The sequence below is a fragment of the Homo sapiens genome, chromosome 2, assembly GCF_000001405.40.
Source record: "Homo sapiens chromosome 2, GRCh38.p14 Primary Assembly".
NCBI lineage: Eukaryota > Metazoa > Chordata > Mammalia > Primates > Hominidae > Homo > Homo sapiens.
Genome location: NC_000002.12, coordinates 233,696,457 through 233,718,349, shown reverse-complemented (window position 1 = coordinate 233,718,349; position 21,893 = coordinate 233,696,457). Strand labels below are relative to the sequence as shown.

At 40.7% G+C, this 21,893-nt stretch overlaps 6 protein-coding genes and 1 further gene across 7 annotated transcripts in view, besides 2 other annotated features; all 7 read right to left on the bottom strand.

The window, feature by feature from the left end:
• The window catches only part of UGT1A5 (UDP glucuronosyltransferase family 1 member A5), a 60,394-nt gene extending 54,951 nt beyond the window's left edge, over positions 1-5,443 (bottom strand). Inside the window, exon 1 of the mRNA NM_019078.2 lies at positions 4,492-5,443. Coding sequence (NP_061951.1) covers positions 4,492-5,358 — 867 coding nt within the window. The 5' untranslated portion in view covers positions 5,359-5,443. The remainder of the gene's footprint in view (positions 1-4,491) is intronic.
• The window catches only part of UGT1A (UDP glucuronosyltransferase family 1 member A complex locus), a 187,861-nt gene that overhangs the window by 54,950 nt on the left and 111,018 nt on the right, over positions 1-21,893 (bottom strand).
• The window catches only part of UGT1A8 (UDP glucuronosyltransferase family 1 member A8), a 155,668-nt gene that overhangs the window by 54,951 nt on the left and 78,824 nt on the right, over positions 1-21,893 (bottom strand). The gene's annotated exons all lie outside the window — the stretch shown is intronic.
• Positions 1-21,893, bottom strand: part of UGT1A10 (UDP glucuronosyltransferase family 1 member A10) — a 136,853-nt gene that overhangs the window by 54,951 nt on the left and 60,009 nt on the right. The window lies entirely within an intron of this gene.
• UGT1A9 (UDP glucuronosyltransferase family 1 member A9) overlaps positions 1-21,893 on the bottom strand; it is a 101,403-nt gene that overhangs the window by 54,951 nt on the left and 24,559 nt on the right. The gene's annotated exons all lie outside the window — the stretch shown is intronic.
• The window catches only part of UGT1A7 (UDP glucuronosyltransferase family 1 member A7), a 91,400-nt gene that overhangs the window by 54,951 nt on the left and 14,556 nt on the right, over positions 1-21,893 (bottom strand). The window lies entirely within an intron of this gene.
• Positions 1-21,893, bottom strand: part of UGT1A6 (UDP glucuronosyltransferase family 1 member A6) — an 81,599-nt gene that overhangs the window by 54,951 nt on the left and 4,755 nt on the right. The gene's annotated exons all lie outside the window — the stretch shown is intronic.
• Positions 4,739-5,239: an enhancer, noted in NCBI's record as "H3K4me1 hESC enhancer chr2:234621757-234622257 (GRCh37/hg19 assembly coordinates)". NCBI's record gives its function as "activates a minimal SCP1, AML or CMV promoter by ChIP-STARR-seq in primed H9 embryonic stem cells {active_cell/tissue: H9 hESC(primed)}" and the evidence as "EXISTENCE:reporter gene assay evidence [ECO:0000049][PMID:30033119]".
• Positions 5,240-5,740: an enhancer, noted in NCBI's record as "H3K4me1 hESC enhancer chr2:234621256-234621756 (GRCh37/hg19 assembly coordinates)". NCBI's record gives its function as "activates a minimal SCP1, AML or CMV promoter by ChIP-STARR-seq in primed H9 embryonic stem cells {active_cell/tissue: H9 hESC(primed)}" and the evidence as "EXISTENCE:reporter gene assay evidence [ECO:0000049][PMID:30033119]".

The window sequence follows — 21,893 nt, the reverse complement described above, 5'->3', positions numbered from 1 at the left end:
CATCCAAAAGACATACAACATTGCTAAGCCAGCTTTCTCTAAACAGAGAGTGTTCAGGCTGGCTATCTGGTTTTGGTCTTTTTTCACACCAGGATATTTCTTGTAAAGCTCAAAGAGGACTCTCTCTGAAGTGGCTGTCAATATAAAAAAAAGCTCCGGGGAGGCTGAGCTCAAGATGTGATGATCATATTCTTGGGAAGGCTTTATTGAGGATTCTCCATCTACACCATGGAATAAGAGGTGCTGCTGTCTAAAGCACACATGGGCAAGACAACCCTAGCAAGGACCCACGGTGGGTTCAGGGAGCTCCTGCTCACCAAAGGACCTGGGGAGCTGGAGCCTGGCCTCAGATCTTGCACAGTCTGAATTCCTCTTCTGAATGCCAAAGGCTCCAGTCTTCTGCAAGTCTGCATAGAGACTGAAGTATCCATTCATCCAGGCCTTTATTTCATCCTGAAGATTATGGCCAGGCTTTTCTCCAAGTCAATCCAGCACCAAGTTCTGATAAGAATGGTTCCTCCAGAACAGAACGGGCTGCATAATTTGTGGGGGCACTACTTCAAATTTCAAAATGGAGAATTAAATGTGTGCCTTTCTAGGGGGAGACCCTGAGCACTCACAATGGTCTCATGCCCATGAGGCTCGTCCTGCTCCAGAAAGTCACTCCTACATGTGCTCGCAAGATTGCTGATGCTTCCTTGTCCTGGTCGCCCCAGGATGAGGTGGGCAGGCTCTCTGGGCTGTGCCCACTTTCCATCTCACTACCTCTGTGTCTACATGCCTGGCCATGTCTGCCATTGCTGGTGAGGCTGAGGCTTCCCTTATGGAGGAAGTTACTCCCATTAGAAATCCACATTGATAACAGATTCCACCTTTGGACACAACCCATGGGACAGGCAGTGAATGGATGCGTCCATCAGAGGGACACCCAGCTCAAGGGAGGCATATGCAGGATGGCACAGAGAGGGCAGGTCTGTAAGGGCTTGAGAACTCCCCAGGGGAGGACGATTTCTGGGGATTTGTGAGGACACAGAGTGCTAGAAAGGGATTCTCAGCTGTGGGTGCAACATCTCAGCTTCTCAACTATTCCTCCAACCCCCTTAAAACTGTCTGCATCTTAAGAACCCTCCTGATGAGCCCGGGGTGAGGGTGGAACATGCCTGGGAGGGTGCTCTTGCCACATTCAAGGGGCTCCCATGTTCTATTTCCATGTAGTGGTGTTCTATTTCCATGTAGTGGTGTTTTATTTAGATAGTGATGTCATCTGATTTCTGGTTACGTGTCTGGCACTCCTAGACCCTGCGGAGGCCCATGTATCTTGGAAGATGGTGGTGCCTTCAGAGACATAGGGGCCCTGAGGACAGCAGGACTGTGGGGAGGGAGAAGCTCACATTCCTGGTGCCTGGGAAATAGGAGGAGCTGCCCAAGGCATCAGCTTCCAGGGTCTGGAGATGAGGAGGGGTCTGGGCTGCACAGATAGACTTGGAGCCATCAGCATATGTGGTAGCTGAAGCCATGGGTGTCAGTGAGGTCACCCCAGCAACGTCCAGAGACAGAAAAAGGCATCCCGAAAGCCTGACCTGAGTGATCTAGCTCCCCTCTCCCAATCTCACAGAGCTAAACATATAAACTGGAACTCTTTAGTGTTTTTAAGAGAATGTAGAAACTATATCTTGGGGTAAACAAAGCTTCCTTAGGGTACAAAAAGTACAAACGATAAAAACTTCACTAGAATAAACCTCATCAAATTCTAAAATTTTTGCTCTTTGAAAGTATTGTTTTTAAAAAATGAAAAAAGGAATATAAGGAGAGAAAGGAGATAATTGAATGGTAAGCTGAGAGCTCTGAAGCCTGGAGAATAGAAGACTACGGAGGACAGAAACAAAAATTAAATTTAAATGGCCAAATGAAGGAAAACCTCCAAGTTTTGAATAAGATGTGGGTTTCACTTTAAGCTTAGTGTCTGTGGTAGGCAGAATCACAGCCCCACAAAGTATCTACATTGTAGTTGCGCAAACCTGGGAATATATTCCATTACAGGTGGAAGAGACTTTATAGATGTGATTATATTAAGGGTTTTGACATGGGGAGATTATGCTGGATGTCCGGGCAGGACAATGTAATCACAAGGGCTCTTGCAAGTGAAAGAGACAGATGTAAGAATTAGAGACTTGAAGATGCTGCACTGCATCTCCATGGAAATGGAAAAGGGCCATGGAATTCCAAAACTAAGATGGAAAAACTAAATTTCTGTTAAAGGAATGAGCTTACACTCAGTGGAAAGAATACAACTAAGAATGGACAGAATCAGAATGCTGACATCAAAAGAAACTATCAGATTAAAGTCATTTTGGGTTTTGTTGTGTTTTAAATCAATCAATCAGTCAATCAGTCAGTCAGTCAACAAACCACAAGAGCTGAAACTCCTGAGCTCAATGATCCTCCCACCTGAGCCTCCCAAGTAGCTGGGGCCACAGGCACAAGCTACTGCACCCAGCTTTTCATATTGGAGTTTTAAAAAAATGTTTTCTAACTTTAAAACAAGATTTTCACATTCCAAATAAATTTTTATTTTTTTGAGATGGGTCCTCGCTCTGTCACTCAGGCTGGAGTGAGGTGGCGTGAACATGGCACACTGCAGCCTCCACCTCCTGGGATCAAGTGATCCTCCTGCCTCAGCCTCCCGAGTAGCTGGGACCACAGGTGTGCACCATCACACCTGGATAATTTTTTAATTTTTTGTAGAGATGGAGTCTCAGCATGTTGCCCAGGCTGCTCTCAGACTCCTGGGCTCAAGCAATCCTCCTCCCTCGGTCTCCCAAAGGGCTGAAATTACAGGTGTGAGCTACCCACTTGCACACAAATCATTTTCAAATTAAAAGAGATGGGGAATTCAAAAAATAACATAGGAGTCACATTACTGATATCAGATAAAATGTATTTTAAGGATTATTATTTAATGATAACAGCAAACTGTGAAGAAAATATAAGTCTCAAACCTCAAACCTACATGCACCAATCTAATCACTATGTATAAAGCAAAACCTATTCAAGAGCCAAAATATAACTGGAGGAGAATTTGTTATGTAAGGGGATTTTTTAAAAGACATCCTTCACAGAATTGGGCAGATTCAGTAGAGGGTCTTTTAAAAGATAGAAAAATTGCCTAGGTGTGGTGGCTCGCGCCTGTAATTCCAGCACTTTGGCAGGCTGAGGTGAGTGAATCACTTGAGATCAGGCATTTGAGATCAGCCTGGCCAATATGATGAAACTCCATCTCCATAAAAAATACAAAAAAAAAGAAAATTAGCTGGATGTGGTGCCATGCGCCTGTAGTTCCAGCTACTTGGGAGGCTGAGGCAGGAGAATCAGTTGAACCTGGGAGGTGGAGGTTGCAATGAGCCAAGATCCCACCACTGCACTCCAGACTGGGTGACAGAGCAAGACTCCATCTCAAAAGATAGAAAAATTTAAAAGATAGAATTTTAGTTTTATCCATGGAATATTTATAAACATTCACCATATTGTTGTCACTAACTACATATGAATATTGAGCACTTGAAATGTGGCTATTCCAAATTGAGATATACTGTAAGTGTCAAATATATGCTAGATTTTGAAGACTTAACAACAAAAAAAGCTACGTTAAACAGTTCACATGTTGAAAGGATAATATTTGGGATACATCTGGTTAAATAAAATGCATTATTCACATTAATTTTAGTGGTTTCTTTTTGCTGGTGTTTAACATGCCCACTAGAAAAGTTTAAATTATGTATGTGGTTTACATGATATTTCTATTGGACACTTCGGTATTAGACCATGAAGTTAACCTAGTAAGAATTTTTTTTAAGTAGTGTCTTCACAAGAAACATTCTCCTATTACAATCCAACACTCCCTCTCTGGAAACTGAACTCTGTGTTTCATTCTCTGATCACAGACATCCATTGCACCTACATTGGCCCAATTCCACTGAACTGAGTCAACTTCTTTGAAACCTCTACTTCCTCTGAGTGCTTAGGTCTCCTGTGGTCACCTCTCTATCTTTTGCAAGATGGGACCACTAAAAATTGTCACGTCAACAATTGTAAATTTCTATTCCTTCCTCCTTTCTACTGAAAATCTTGCCAGCAAGATTGGATGGATCAGTTCTCAGTGTAGTGTCCCTGCTCCTGCCCAGCTGAAGCACATCCACAGCCATGAAGATGGTGCTTTTACAAACGAACAGTCTCCGTGAGTCACACCACTCTTGCCCATCCTTTGACAGATCCTCGTCCCTGCCTCTCCTTCCTCTCAGTGGCCATTGAAACCCTGAACTGCACTACCATTGACCCTTTAAAAGTTTATCTCACTGAAGACTATTACAACAATGAGAAGCAGAAATGAAATCTTTGGAAAGATAAGTAGATATGGAAGCACTTGTAAGTAAATACATTTTTTAAAAAGTGTTTTGCCTGGAACATTGATTGGATAAAGGCACCAATACAGACCTGAGATAGTGGCTTCCCGTTGGCACAGTTGATGCCCCCAATGAAGACCATGTTGGGCATGATCGGCCTGGGGTAATCCATCACAAAGTCCCCTCGGAACAGCCACACAGATGCATGGCTGACAAGATCCACCACTGACACCTCTCTCTGAAAAAGCTCAGAGGCAAGGCTTGCATAAGGAGCAGAAACAGCATGGCAAAGGTAGGACAGGGCCAGAGGGTAGAGCATGTTCTTGACCCTTTGCAGGAATGTCATGTGGTCTGAATTGGTCGTTAGTAATCTAGGAATATAGGAGGAAGGGTTTGGACACTGTGTGCCCTTAAAGTCTAAATCACATGGAATGTTCCTCAAGAAAAACACAGCAGGAATCGACAGGTACTTAGCCAGCACCGCCGCGCAGAGGTGAAAGGGGTCTGTTAGAACCACATCAAAGGAAGTAGCATGCAGGTGCCTGATCAGGGCCTCATTATGCAGTAGCTCCACACAAGACCTATGTATGATCAAAGACATATTGTTCATAATTGCCATTCTTCTAGAAAATTTCATCAGAAGATGTTCTGTTTCAAAGAACGATTGAGTGTGACCCAGCAAAAGGCGATCAAATTCGTCCTGGGTCCATGAAATGGCATACGTTGTCAGGGTGAAAAAGTTCTCTTCTTTGATGTACATATTCACCTCCAGGGTGAGGACCACCACCTGGTGGCCTCTCGCATGGAGGTCCCGCAAGGCCTCCCGCATGCTGAGCCAGTGGCTGCCATCAGTGGGCACCACCAGCACCTTCCCACTCTCAGCCCAGGGCTGGACACTGAGGAGAAGCAGCAGTCCTGTGGCCAGCTGCGGCAGGGGAACCTGGAGTCCTGTGGCCATCTCAGCAGAAGCCACCGACAGCTGACTGTCCACCCCACGTTGTGCCTCCTAGAATTGTTTCCTTCGTCTTAATTACCTTGTCACTGAGACACCTAGCAAATCAACATGTAATTGAAGACAGAGTGCCCTCCTCCAGTTACTTATTACCCGTTAATCTATAATTGTCTTGCATTATGGGCCCCACCCTGGGAAAGACCGATCACTCCTATCTTGAAAAACTCATCTGACCTTGCGCTCGCTCTGGGGAACATCCAAGTTCAAGCTCTTGTTTCTCATTCAATTCCCAACACAAGGCTGTGAACCCCCATTTCATGTCACTGTCTCCTACTTCTCTCTTAACCACGTTTATCAGGCTGCAGCTGAGGTCTGAGGAGTCACCATTGCCCTAGTCCCCAACCATATGGTCTCTGCTGGATGTGACCCTATTTGCTAACTCTTAATACTCTTTCTTCCCACATATGGGTAACACAGCACATCCAAAATGCAGACAACATTGCTAAGCCAGCTTTCTTTAAACAGGGAGTGGGGAGGCTGGCTATCTGGTTTTGGTCGTTTTTCACACCAGGATATTTCTTGTAAAGCTCAAAGAGGACTCTCTCTGAAGTGGCTGTCAATATAAAAAAAGCTGCAGGGAGGCTGAGCTCAAGATGTGATGATCAGATTCTTGGAAAGGCTTTGTTGAGGATTCTCCATCTACACCATGGAAGAAGAGGTGCTGCTGTCTAAAGCACACATGTGCAAGACAACCCTAGCAAAGACCCATGGTGGGTTCAGGGAGCTCCTGCTCACCAAGGGACCGGGGGAGCTGGAGCCTGGCCTCAGATCTTGCACAGTCTGAATTCCTCTTCTGAATGCTGAAGGCTCCAGTCTTCTGCAAGTCTGCTTAGAGACTGAAGTGTCCATTCATCCAGGCCTTTATTTCATCCTGAAGATTATGGTCAGGCTTTTTTCCAAGTCAATCCAGCACCAAGTTCTGATAAGAATGGTTCCTCCAGAACAGAATAATTTGTGGGGGCTCTAGTTCAAATTTCAAAATGGAGAATTAAACGTGTGCCTTTCTAATGGAGAGACCCTGAGCACTCACAATGGTCTCACGCCCATGAGACTCGTCCTGCTCCAGAAAGTCACTCATACTTGTGCTTGGCAAGATTGCTGACGCCTCCTTGTCCTGGTCGCCCCAGGATGATGTGGGCAGGCTCTCTGGGCTGTGCACACTTTCTATCTCACTTCCTCTGTGTCTACATGCCTGGCCGTGTCTGCCATTGCTGGTGAAGCTGAGGCTTCCCTTAGGGAGGAAGTTACCCCCATTAGAAATCCACATTGATAATAGATTCCACCTTTGGACAGAACCCATGGGACAGGCAGCGAATGGAGCTGTCCACCAGAGGGCGCAGGCAGGAAGGCACAGAGAAGGCAGGCCTGCAAGGGCTTTGGGAACTCTCCAGGGGAGGATGATTCCCGGGGAGTTGTGAGGACACAGAGCGCTAGAAAGGGATTCTCAGCTGTGGGTGCAACATCTCAGCCTCTGAACTATTCCTCCAACCCCCTTAAAACTGTATGCATCCTAAGCACCCTCCTGATGAGCCCGGGGTGAGGGTGGAACACACCTGGGAGGGTGCTCTCACCACATTCAGGGGGCTCCCCTGTTCTATCTCCATGCAGTGGTGTTTTGTTTAGACACCAATGTCATCTAATTTCTACTCCCACGTCTAGGACTCCTAGACCCTGGGGAGGCCCATGTATCTTGGAAGATGGTGGTGCCTTCAGCGACATGGGAGCACTGGGGAGAGCAGGACTGTGGGGAGGGAGTAGCTCATATTCCTGGTGCCCAGGAAATAGGAGGAGCAGCCCAAGGCATCAGCTTCCAGGGTCTGGAGATGAGGAGGGGTCTGGGCTGCACAGATAGACTTGGAGCCATCAGCATAAGTGGTGATTGAAGCCATGGGTGTCAGTGAGGTCACCCCAGAAAAATTCAGAGATAGAAAAAGGCATCCAATAGCCTGATCTGAATGATTGTATATTCCCCTCTGCCAATCTCAGAGACATAAACAAAGACCTAAACAAAGACTAAGTGGTCTAAAGACCTCTTTCCACCCAAACCTACAAACTTAAACTGTTTAACTTTTTTAAAAAACATAGAAACAAATCCTCCCACCTTTTGGTAGACAAAGATTCCTTAGATAGGGCACGAGGGGTACAAAACACAAAACGTTTGCTAAAATTGACTTAATCAAAACTTGCAACTTTTGCTCCTTGAAAGACGTTGTTTTTTAAAAAATGAAACAAAGGACACCACACACCAGAAGTAAACAGAAACACAACTATCTGACATAGCACTTGTATCCAGAATATGTAAAGAACTCACTACTCAAATATAAGAAGACAAACAAACCAATAAAGGTGTGCGGAAGATTTTGAAAGGGCACCTTTTAAAAGAAAACAGGCATATGATCAATAAGCACATGAAAAGATTATCATCAGTCATAAGAGGAATGCAAATTCAAACCCAATGAAATTCTACTACACACCCATTAGGATGGCTAAAATGTAAAAGACTAAAAATAGCAAGTCTTAGCACAAATACAGAGCAGCCAGAACTCTAATGCGTTGCTGTTAGGAATGTAAAATTGTATAACTGCTTTGGAAACAGTTCGACTGTTTCTTATGAAGTCATACATACACCTACCATGCAACCCAACAATCCCACTTTTAAGTATTTACCCAAGAAAAATGAAATCTCAGAAACACTCGTACTCGAATAGTCATAGCAGCTTTATTCATAATAGCCAACAACTGGAAACTATCCACATGTCCATCAATAAATAAATGCATAAGCAAATGATGATATATCTATACAATGAAATGCTACTCGGAAATAGAAACGAATGAAATATTGATACATGCAACAATGTGAAAGGATCTGAAGAGACATTATGCCGAGCCAAAGAGGCCAGACACAAAACAGTATACCTGTGTGTTTTTCATTCATAATTGTATGATTCCATTCAGATGAAACTCTAGAAAAGACAATTCTGTTATCCAGCAACAGAAACCATCCAGGGTTGCCTAAGGTGAGGGGAGGTATTAGGTGACTGAGATAGGACAGAAGGGAAGTTACTGGGTAATGGAGTGCTCCGTGTCTTGAATGTGGTGATGGCTGCACAGCTAAATAAAATCATTACAACTCAGAAATGTATCATTAAAACGGTGCACTTTATTGCATGTAAATAATACTCCAATAATGTTTATTTTAGTAGTATCAATTGAAAACATATCATTCAATTAAAAAAGAACAAAATTTTCCCAAGCTGACCAAAAGACCAAAACCTACTATACAAAGCCCTACCTATTCCAAGAAACACTCACAGCAAAACACCTATATTTAATAATGTTTCTTTCACATCCTGGTATATTTTTTGAATTTTAAGTTTAAATTTATAAGTACTTACATATATCACAGTAGGAAAAAGAATTCCTAAAAGAGAGCAAGAGGCAGAGACTTCAAATACTAAATACTTATAAGCCCCAAAATGATTGCTTTAAAAGTCGGCAGGTCATCCTTTCTGGAGGACATTCTTATTGAGTGTTCACCCATAGATTATTAAAAGAAATTTAGATTAGGACACAGAAAAATCTATATAGTAATAGGTTTATATGACAAACTAGTAACAAAAAATCTGACATCTAAATAGAAAATATCATTAATTGAAGGGTAATTCACAGCGTGGACAAGTTATTTCCTATCTCATCCCAGCGGCCACCCCTCCCCCAAACTCTCAAATGTACTTCTGGTGAGGATCCACTCCCAGCTCAGGATAGAACATGTGACCTAGGCCTCAACCAATCAGCACGTCTCATCCCCTTGGCCACCATGATTAGTTCAGAGATGGGCATGTGACTTCATTAGAGCCAATGAGGCAGAAGAACTTTAACTAGGAATCCTGGGAAAAGAACTCAGGCTGAAGCCCCTGCTGCTTGGGTATTATGACACTGAGAAGGATGCCACGGCCGAGGAAACAGAGACAAGAAATGGAAACATATAAATGGGTTCTGGTGACATAGTTTGGCTCTGTAGCAAGCAATACCTAACCAGATAGCCCCTGAGATTGTTCTAGTATGTGAACCAATAAAAGAGATTAAAAAAGAAAAGCCCTGCAACAAATTCACTGAGTCAAGAATTTGGGGAAGTTGCCCAAATAAAGTGATCACAGGTTGCATTGATTTGGGGGGGGGTGGGGAGTTGGTCAGGGTCTTGCTCTGTTGCCCAGGCTGAGGTGCAATGATGCAAACATAGCTCACTGGAACCTTGAACTCCTGGGCTCAAATAATCCTCCCACCTCAGCCTTCCGAGTAGTTAGGTCTACAGGCACACGCTACCATGTCCAGCTAGGTTTTTACTTTCTGTAGTGAAGGAATCTCACTATGCTGCCTAGGCTGGTCTCAAACTCCTGGGCTCAAGCTATCCTCCTGCTTCGGCCCCGCAAAGTGCTGGGATTATAAGCATGAGCCACCACGCTCAGCCAGTTGCATCAATTCTATTAAATGCAGAAGGTAAATACCAGTTCTTATCTTCACTGGTGAAACAACTTGATGAAAGTAAACACACACACACAAAAGACGTTTAAATGAAGAATTAATAAGGGAAATGAAAATTCAAATAACCTTGAGATATTTTTTACCTATTGGATTGTCAAAAACTGAAAGCATTTGATGATAATACATGTGGCAAGGATATGAAGGAAAGTGTACACTTATACATTGCTAAGGGAAGAATAAATTGTTAATGCCTAATGACATTTAAAATGTGCACGACACAGTAAGTCCATTTTCCGGCAACTCCCCTGTGGAAACTCCCACACAGGAGCACAGTGAGTCATATACTAAGATGTTTATTCTAATTCGTTTGAATAAAAGTAAAAAGCAAGATGCAGAGTGGGGGAAGATATTTGCAATATCTATAACTGCCAAAGAACTAGTATCCAGAATGCATACATAATTCGAGTAGACAACCCAGTGGGCAATAGACTTGAATGGGCAAAAGAGGAAATCCAAATGACTGATAAGTATATTTTAAAACCCTCAATATAATCAGTCATGTACATAACTAATGCCTTAGCAATCAGGGATATGTACAACCACTCTGAAAAATAGTTACATCTTATTAAATTAATGATATGCACGCCCTCCAACGCAGCAGCTCCACCCCTAGGTATATACTCTAAAAACCCACTCACATGTGTTTCAGAATGTAAAAGAATGTTCGTTGTAACATTGTTCACAGTAGTGAAAAGCTAGATACAACCCAAAGCCCATCAACAGTAGAATGGATAAATAAAATTGTGGTGTATTCATACAATGGGATATATTCAGTACTGACAATCCACAAACTACAACTTGTAAAAACACACATCATGAATCTCTCAAACATAAGGTTGAACCAAAAAAAAAAAAAAGGCAAGACAAAGAAAAACAGTAAAATTCTATTTATGTTAAGTACCGAAACAGGTAAAATCATCTGTATTATTTACAGATGCAAATTTAGGTGGCAAAATTGTAAAGAAAAGCAAAGAAATAGTCGAGGGAGAGAGAACATCAAAAAGAATAGCTCATGGATGCTGAGCTTAATACCTAGGTGATGGGTTGATCTGGGCAGCAAACCACCATGGCACATGTTTAGCTATGTAACAAACCTGCACATCCTGCATGTGTGCCCTGGAACTTAAAATAAATGCTGATGAAGAAAAACACAAGAGAAATAATCATCACAAAAGTCAGAGAAAAGATGGAAAGGGAATAGAACGGAGGGCAGGCACCCAGGATGGATGTCTGGGTGCTGATAAACTGCAGTGACCTCCGGGATAGAAAGCCTAATGCAGAGTATTTTGGGGGTCCCTCAGCTGCCATGCAAAGTGGAGCACATGCAGATGGGACTCTGTCCACCTGAGCAGCTTCCTCTACCTTGGGGGCTGGCTGACCATGGATCCTAGGTTCCTGTTGATTCTTACTGCCTATCTGTGAAGAATCAAGTTTCTTTGCCTGACTTGCACAAGCATTCCATCTCACCAGACTCATACTCTGGCAGCTAGGATTGTAAAATGCCTCCAACCAGAGCTGGGAAGTGCCAGGTCTAGGAATCTTAGTAAAGACTGCTGAGGTGTTTAGAGTCCTGCCCTGGGATTGGCAACCCAACCTAATTGGTGCATGGTATTTCTCTCCCAGAGATGGATACCAGTGTACGGCACTCTGCTTCACAGTCACTGTCAACCCTGAGATTCCAGAATTCCATGACTTTTCAGTGACAAGAAGGAGTGGGGTGGGGAGTAGAAATCAGACCTACAGTGATGGGGCACAGACACAGTAGAAACACTCATTTCTCTAGTCTTCTTATCACATACTTAGGTCCACCTCCCATCTCCACTCTTACCCTAAGGTTTGAGAAACACCTAGAAAAAAAGCTGTGTTTCTAAGCCGCTGTAAAATCCTCAGCATCACACCAGCCTGGACACCCTCATGTACCCAGCCTATGGTGAAACCTCAATGGTCATTTGCTTTGACCAAGTCTGTGGCTGAAAGACCACGTGAAGTTTGAGTGGTAAATGTACTTGGCCTCTGCTTTTGTACAATGGCCTAAATTGGAAGAATGTTTTTTCAGGGTCACCAGCTTGAATAGTTCCAAAAGGCACTATCTACATAGTACCTGGCACTGGGCCCCACCCCTGAGGTTGGGCAATCCAGCTGCCCTGGTTCTCTCACTCTCCCAGCTGCACATTTGCCCCTGCCTGGGCCAGCTTTGTGGAGGAGCAGCCTGGGCAGACACACCACATTCCACATTTAGAAGGTTCTCATGCTTTGTTTAATACTTTGCTGTCAGTGTCCTGAAATTCTTGGTTTTTTTTTAAGACAGAATCTAGCTCTGTCACCCAGGCTGGCATGCAGTGGCGTGATCTCGGCTCACTGCAACCTCTGCCTCCCAGGTCCAAGTGCAAGTGATTCTCACACCTCAGCCTCCTGAGTAGCCGGAACCACAGGCATGCACCTCCACACCCAGCTAATTTTTTGTCTTTTTAGTAGAGAAGGAGTTTCACTATTTTGGCCAGGGCAGTCTTGAACTCCTGGCCTCAAGTGATCTGCCTGCCTCAGCTTCCCACTTCAGCTCCAGCCACTGTGCTCGGCCTGAAATTCTTAATAATTTTTGAACAAGGGGCATTTTGCACTAAGACACTCAAAGTATGCAGCTGATCTGTTACCGACCTACCTGCTCAGGGTATTAAAAGATAACAATATACTGGTGAATTTTTATACCAGTCGTTGTGAATATTATCTCACAACTATAATTTATGAGAAGACCTTCAACTTCCTAGAACTGTCAACTCAGTTTCTTCTCTCTTCAGAGCCTTTCCCAGATCCATAAACCATTTCTATCCCTTGCCACAAGCAATATCACCAGCTGCTCTTCACAGCTGAAGGTAATCTCCCCACCCTGATTCTTAAAAAGGTATTTATTATCATTAAATTTGCCTCATGTGTGTCTGCTAAAAAATATGTGCAATTCTGAAGGATAAGTTATGAGCCACCTCTGAAGACAAGTCTCTGATGAGTATCATTTTAAAGGCACAAACAAAATAAAAGCAAAACCCCATGTAATAAGACAAAAATTGAGAGAATGTGTTGCTGAAAAACTCAACTTACAAGAAATACTAAAGGAAGTTCTTCAGGTTGAAAGCAAGTGACCCCATAGAATAATCTGAATTCATACAGAAAAAAAGCACTGATAATAGTAATCATGTAGTTATAAAAGGCAGTACCAATGCATACTTCCCCTTTATTCTCTCTCTCTCTCTCTTTTTTTTTTTTTCAGACGAAGTCTCGCTCTTGTCCCCCAGGCTGGCGTGCAATGGCACGATCTTGGCTCTCTGCAACCTCCGCCTCCCGGGTTCAAGCAATTCTCCTGCCTCAGCCTCCCGAGTAGCTGGGATTACAGGCGCCTGCCACCATACCCGGCTAATTTCTGTATTTTAAGTAGAGATGGGGTTTCACCATGTTGGCCAGGCTGGTCTTGATCTAGGCTGGTCTCAGGTGATCCACCTGCCTCAGCCTTCCAAAGTGCTGGGATTACAGGAGTGAGCCACCGTGCCCGGCCCTATTCTCTTAACTGATTTTAAAAGCAATCCTAAAAAGCAATATACATATATATAATTATATTGTTGGGACTATAACATATGGAAGCGTAATATATTTGACAATAATAGCACAAGGGAGGCAGTTGGGAGCAAAGGCAAATTGGGCTAAGAAATGATACCATAAGGTAACTCAGATCCATAAGAACAAAGGAAAAGAACCAAAAATGATAAGCAAAAAGGTTAATATAACAAACTCTATAAATACATACTTGCTCTTCTTTCTTCTCTCTGATTCTTGAAAGCATGTGTATTTATATAAAGTAATATTATCACCATGTATTGTTTAGTTTGTAACATATATAGATGTACCACGTATAACAATAATATCATAAAAAGGGGAGAAAGGAAATAGAGCTATATAGGAATGACATTTCAATATTTAACTGGAATTAAGTTGGTATAAATCTGAAGTAGATACTGGTAAGTTAAAATCGATGTGCTAAGCCCTAGAACAACCGCTCAGAACACAACTTTTTAAATAGTGGAAAGAAAAACATTAAAGGATTTTACATGTTGCACTAGAAAATATTCACTCAATGCAAAAAAAAAAAAAAAGCAATAAAGGCAGAACAGAGGAACAAATAAATACATGAGAGATATAGAGCATAAAAAGTAAAATGGGGCCAGGCACAGTGGCTCACACCTGTAATCCCAGTACTTTGAAAGGCTGAGGCGGGTGGATCACTTGAGGTAAGGAGTTTGAGACCAGACTGACCAACATGGCAAAACTCTGTCTCTATAAAAAATACAAAAATTAGCCAGGCATGTTGGTGCACACCTGTAGTTCCAGCTGCTCGGGCGGCTGAGGTGGGAGAACTGCTTGAACCCAGGAGGCGGAGGTTGCAGTGGGCCAAGATCACACCACTGCACTCCAGTCTGGGTAACAGAATGAGATTTTGTCTCAAAAAAAAAAGAAAAGAAAAAAATGATGGTAGACATAATTCCATCTACATCAATAATAGTATTAAATGTGAATGGATTAAACAACTCAATTAAAAGACAGAGATTATCAGACTGCATTAAAAACAAGGACTAATAATATCTTGTCTGCAGAAGATACATTTGAGATTTAAAAACAAAAAAAAGTTTATATTTAAAACTTAAATTTTACAAAGTTAAATGGTGGAAAAAAAATATATCATGAAACAGCAACCAAAAGAAATGCAGATTGGTTATACTAATATCAGATAAAATAGACTTTTTTAATGACACAGTATCATGAAGCAAGATAATATAGACCTTAAAACAAAAAATATTACTAGCAATAAAGTGGGAAATTGTGTAATGATAAGTGTCACTCCACCAGGAAGCTAAACTAAACACAAAGCAAGAAGGCAGAAAATAATAAAGAATAGAGGGGAAATTAACGACATAGAAATAGAGAAGCAATAGAGAAAAATAAACAAAACCAAAATTGTTTATTTGAAAATATAGACAAAATTGATAAACCTAAAGTTAGATTAACAAAGAAAAAAGAGAGAAGACTCAAAATTGCTAAAAATATGAAATGAAAGAGGGAATGTTACTACCAACCTTACAGAAACAGAAAGTATTATAAGGGAACACTCTGGGCCATTTTATGCCAAGGAATTAGATAACTTAGATAAAATTGACAAATTCCTAGAAAGAAACAAACTACTGAAATTGAATCAAGAAGAAATACAAAATCTAAATAAAGCCATAACAGGTAAAAAGATTAAATTAGTAATTTTAAAACCTCCTGCAAGAAAAGCCTAGGCCCAGACAGCTTCACTAGTGAATTCTATCAAATATGTAAAGAATGAATACCAATTCTTGACAGACTGTTCCCAAAAAATAGAAGAGAACATTCCCCAGTTTCTTCTACAAGGCCAGTAATATTCAGATAGCAAACACAGACCAAGGCTCCGCAAGAAAATAAGACTTCCAATATCTCTTATGGATATGATGCAAAAGTCCTCAATAAAATGCTGTCAAACCAAATTCAGTAACATGTAAAAGGATTATACAACACAATCAAGTGGGATTATTCTAGGAATACAAGGTTCGTTTACACCTGCAAATCAATTAACACATATCACTAGAATAGGGGACCAAAAAGAAAACCATGTTCATTTCAATAGACACAGAAAAAGCATTTGACAAAACCAAACACCTCAGGTATGATAAGAATACTCAACGAGCTAGGAATAGATGAAAATTTCCTCAATCTCATAATGTGGGGGGCATCTACTCAAAAAATCTCCAGTTAAGACCTAATCTGCTAAAAGACTGAATACTTCCCCACCTAAGATCAGGAACAAGATAAGAATCTCCTCTTTCCACTTCTATTCAACACGGTACTAGAGGTTCAAGCCAGGGCAATTAGATAAGCAAAAGAAATAAATGTTATCCTTATTAGAAAGGAAGAAGTAACGCTATCTCTATTTGTAGATAACATGATCTGGAATGTAGAAAATCCTACGAAATCCACTAAAAAAAAACTATTAGAACAAATAAACAAGTTCAGAAATGTTGAAGTACAAGATCAATATACAAAACTCTTTATGCTAAAGGGAAAAAGCTATTCATGTATTTTGTGAATGGAATCCATAGAAATAGGCAAATTCATAAGGACAGAAAGTTGATTAATGGCTGCCAGGGGCTGGAGGAAGGAGAGAAAGAAGAGTGACTGATAATAGATATAAGGTATCTTTGGGAGTGACTGAAAATGTTCTAAGGTTGACTATGGTGATGGTTGTACAAATCTGTGACTATACCAAAAACCATTAAAATTAGTGAATTGTTAATTTTTTGAAGGGTTTTTTTTTGTGTCTCTATTTCCTTCAGTTCTGCTCTGATCTTAGTTATTTCTTGCCTTTTACTAGCTTTTGAATGTGTTTGCTCTTGCTTTTCTAGTTCTTTTAATTGTGATGTTAGGGTGTCAATTTTAGATCTTTTCTGCTTTCTCTTGTGGGCATTTAGTGCTATAAATTTCCCTCTACACACTGCTTTGAATGTGTCCCAGAGATTCTGGTATGTTGTGTCTTTGTTCTCGTTGATTTCAAAGAACACCTTTATTTCTGCCTTCATTTCGTTATGTACCCAGTAGTTATTCAGGAGCAGGTTGTTCAGTTTCCATGTAGTTGAGCGGTTTTGAGTGATTTTCTTAATTCTGAGTTCTAGTTTGATTGCACTGTGGTCTGAGAGACAGTTTGCTATAATTTCTGTTCTTTTACGTTTGCTGAGGAGTGCTTTACTTCCAACTATGTGGTCAATTTTGGAGTAGGTGTGGTGTGGTGCTGAAAAGAATGTATATTCTGTTGATTTGGGGTGGAGAGTTCTGTAGATGTCTATTAGGTCCGCTTGGTGCAGAGCTGAGTTCAATTCCTGGGTATCCTTGTTAACTTTCTGTCTCGTTGATCTGTCTAATGTTGACAGTGGGGTGTTAAAGTCTCCCACTATTATTGTGTGGGAGTCTAAGTCTCTTTGTAGATCTCTAAGAACTTTTACACTGTTGGTGGGACTGTAAACTAGTTCAACCATTGTGGAAGACAGTGTGGCGATTCCTCAAGGATCTAGAACTAGAAATACCATTTGACCCAGCCATCTCATTACTGGGTATATACCCAAAGGATTATAAATAATGCTGCTATAAAGACACATGCACATGTATGTTTATAACGGCACTATTCACAATAGCAAAGACTTGGAACCAACCTAAATGTCCCTCAATGATAGACTGGATTAAGAAAATGTGGCACATATACACCATGGAATACTATGCAGCCATAAAAAATTATGAGTTCATGTCCTTTGTAGGGACATGGATGAAACTGGAAACCATCATTCTCAGCAAACTATCGCAAGGACAAAAAATCAAACACCGCATGTTCTCACTCATAGGTGGGAATTGAACAATCACACACAGACACAGGAAGAGGAACGTCACACACCGGGGACTGTTGTGGGGTGGGGGGAGGAGGGAGGGATAGCATTAGGAGATATACCTAATGCTAAATGACGAGTTAATGGGTGCAGCACACCAACATGGCACATGTATACATATGTAACAAACCTGTACGTTGTGCACATGTACCCTAAAACTTAAAGTATAATAATAATAAAATTTTTAAAAAAAGAAAAAAACATTCAAAGTGTAGTTTATATATTATCACGAATTTGTGCTGAAAAGTAGAAATATGTAAACACTTAAAGTCATTAAATCTTACTGGAACCCCCCCAAAAAAAGAGTGAATTGTATCATAATAAATTGCATCATAATAAAGTTATATTTTTATAACCCCTTATTCTCATTCTCCTAGAGTTATCTAAATTACTAGACAGTCAAGTTTCTAGGCTTTTATGTACTCATGTTGAATACTTTTTTTAGCTGAATCATTCTAGCATTCAGCTACTCTTTAGATAATTATCTATTAACAGAAACACTGCTGCCAAAATGTTCCACATGCCTGGAAATGCCCCAGATAATCAGCCATAAAGATAAGCACAGGGTTTTGAAAGAGAGGCAGAATTTTAAAGGCATTGTAGACATTGGCCTAAGTCACGTATTTTAAAAAGTGCCTATTAAGAATGACTTGGCATTTTGGGGCTTTTGTTCTACTGAGTTGCCTAGAATGAACCCACAGCTCAGCCAACAAAGGCTGAGATTTCAGCCTGAATGAGCATTCCTTGTAAAGACCCCTATAGGGAGACAAACAGCTCAGAGGGTGGGCACAGGATCCTTGCTGCCCTCCACACCTCCAGGCTGGGGGCCTTGCTGGGTAGACACCACTGGATTCACTTGGAATTGATTTAGATCAGAGTTTCTCAATTTCAGCACTCGTGACATTTTGAGCCAGAGTAATTCTTTGTTGGGAGTTGGGGGACGGGTATTTTTCACACATTGTACAACTTTCAACAGCATCCTTGGCCTCTACGTATATCCTACTGACTATTTCGCCTCTCCAATTGCAACACCAAAAATGTCTTCAGACATATCTGTCCTAGGGGAAAAATTAGTTCTATTTGAGAACTACTATTTAGATGACTCCAGAATATGAGAGGAGGAAACTTGGGAACAGAACTAGTCCTGAGGAACTGGGGTCTAGTTTTCTGGGAAAACGCTCCGTAAAAAATGCTGCAAGAAAACCACATTCATTGTTTTTATCACCTCTCAGCGAGAAAGTTTCAGCCTGTATTCAGGCCTAGCTAGGCTCTAGGCCTGAGCTTGCATTCTATTCCTTTCTATAGACCAGGCTGGGAAGAAAGGATGTCCTAGAGCCAGAGCTCTGGCCATGACCTGGCTCTATGATGTGAATGGCCCTGTCCTTCGGAAGGCTTGAACAGTTCTTTGTATTACAAGTAGAAGAGACTAGGATTTACTTCTGACCTCCTTTGTTCTAAGGAAAACACTCCAATGACCCTTCTAATAATGAAATGCAAAGCTAAATTCTCTTCTAAAATTGAGATATTTGAAATCTAGCCATACCAATAAGAAAAGAGGTTAGCCCTAGGGTGGATGAAACTCAACAAAATAGCAAAAAGGACAGCATAAGAGTGTCCCAGCATCTGGCCTGGATTCAAGCCCCTATAGGAAGAGGAAAGGGGCCTAAAAACAAAAGTTCGTTTTTGTTTTTTTTTCATGCAACAGCATGAGATTCTGAAGAAGAAGTGAGGATCAGAGAGACAGACAGAAAGGTTGCAAGGCACCCATGAGAATCTGACATAAGTAGAACTGTTTTGGGGCAGGTGATGAGGTGCACAGGGCTAGAGAGAAGGCCCTGGGCAGGGCTGGGATAAGTTGTTTCAGGACATCTGGGACTGCCTGGTGGCTCAGCCTCTCATGTTCTTACAGCAGGAATCACCACCTGGGTGGCCAAAGGGCTTCCCCAAGGGCCAGCTTGGACAGAAACCAAGCAGCCCTCTGAGACGGCCACGTCCCTCCTTGGGCAGAGGAGGCAGGTAAGGCTTTGGTCAAAGTCGCAAAGTCACACCAACATGGGAATAAGAGGGAAGTGATCCTGCCTTACTCTTCCACAAGGCGAGGCTGGGAGCCCAGAGGTTACCATGAGAAAGGATACTCTTTCTTTCTGAATCATAGCATTATGTAAAAAATGGTCACCAAGCTATGGTTTTCAAAAGGCTTTGCACATTTTTTTTAGAAATGTATTTGTTTTATAGTTGGGCCAATAGTTACCTATAAAGCATGCTTACTAACCTGTTAGGCAAAATTGAATTCCACTGTTTATTAATCCGAATTTCTTGGATTATTTCTGAAATTAAACATGTTCTTAAAGTTTTGTTGGCCACTCGTGTTCTGTTTACTTTATGTATTGCCGATTATGTGATTTGCCTAATGAGGACTGCATTTTTAAGCTATAAATCAGGGCTTCATTTTCTATGATCTGTGATATATCTTCTTTTCTTAAATAATTTATTGCGATGAAGTCACATAAAATTCACCACGCTAAAGTGAACAATTTCATGGCATTCAGCACATTCATGTTTTGCAACTGACACCTCTATCTGGTTCCAGACATTTCCATCTGTCCAAAGACACATTTTTTTTCATAGTGTTGAAATGGTTTGATTATTGGACAAAAGAAATTCTATTTTGATCACTTTAATTTAATTCCTAATAATTAAAAGTGCATGTTGATAATTACATATCATAATACAGAATGTTCTCTAGGACGACATGCTGGGAATACAGTTGAGACACAAACAAGGTCAAGCACCAGATACAGGGTCACAGGGCTCAAAAAGTACATTCATTAGAGCCCAGTTTCTCAATATAACTGAGTACAACTTTTTGAAAAAATAAGATAATTGGTACCAATGTGCAGAAATGATATTTTTTCCTTCTTACACCAAATATTTCTTTGTAATAAGAATAAATAGCTTTCATTTACTTTTTTCCAATACCCTAGACTTCTAGGAGAAGGAGTCAATAGATTTGATTCAATCAATGGTAAGAAATCATTAAATAAATGCATAACTTTTGCTTACTAACTTCTTAATTAGATTTTCTTGAAATTAAAAAGAAAATTTAAAAATTACTTGAAACGAATGAAAATGGAAACACAATGTATCAAAATCTATGGGCTATAGCAAAACCAGAACTAAGAGAGAAGTTTTTAACAATAAATGCCTACATCCAAAAAGCAGAAATATTTTGAATAAACAACCTAAGAATGCACCTCAAGGAACTAAAAAAGCAAAAGTAAACCAAACTCAAACTTTGTAGAAGGAAAGAAATAATAAAGATCAGGGAAAAAATAAATTAAATTGAGGCTAAATAAACAATGCAAAGACCAATGAAACAAAAAGTTTTTTAAAAAAAAAAAAAGATAAACAAAATTGGCAAACCTTGAGCTAGACTAAGAAAAAGAGAAAACACTCAGATAAAATCAGAAATGAAAAAGGAAACACAGCAACTGACACCACAGAAATACAAAGGATCATTAGCGATTATTGTGAACTCTATATGCCAACAAATTAGAAAACCTAGAGGAAATGGATACATTTCCAAACACAAACAATCTACCAAGATTGAATGAAGAAGAAATAGAAAACCTCAACAAACCAATATAAGTAACAAGATTGAAGCAGTAATAAAAAGTCTCTCATCAAAGAAAAGCCCAGGACCAGATGGATTCACTGCTGAATTCTACCAACCATTTTTAAAAGAATTAATACCAGTTCCACTCAAACTATTACAGAAAAATGAAGAGGAGAGAATACTTCCAAACTCATCCTGTGAGACCAGTGTTACCCTGATACCAAAACCAGACAAGGACACAACAAAAAAAAAGAAAACTGCGGGCCCATATCTCTGACGAACATAGATGCAAAAATCTCAACGAAACACCAGCAAACCAAATCCAATAATATGTTAAAAAGATAATTAATCCTGATGCATTTATTGATATATTGATATGAATACATTGACAGAATTTAGGACAGAACTCATATGTTGTAGATGCTGAAAAAACATTCAACAAAATTCAACGTCCCTTTATGATACACACTCTCAATAAACTGGCTACAGAAGGAACATACCTCAAAACAATAAAATCCATATATGATAAATCCACAGCTAACATCATACTGAAAAGGGTAAAACTGAAAACTGTTCCTCTAAAATCTGGAATAAGACAAAGATGCTGACTGTCAGCACTGTTATTCTTCATAGTACTGGAAGTCCTATCCAAAGCAATTAAGCAAGAGAAAGAAAGAAAGAAAGGGCATCCAAGTTGGAAAGGAAGAAGTCAAATTATTCTTGTTCTCAGATGACATAATATATTCAGAAAAATTTAAACATTCCACCCAAAAGCTGTTAGAACTGACAAGCAAATTCGGTAAAGTTGCAGTATACAAGATCAACTTACAAAA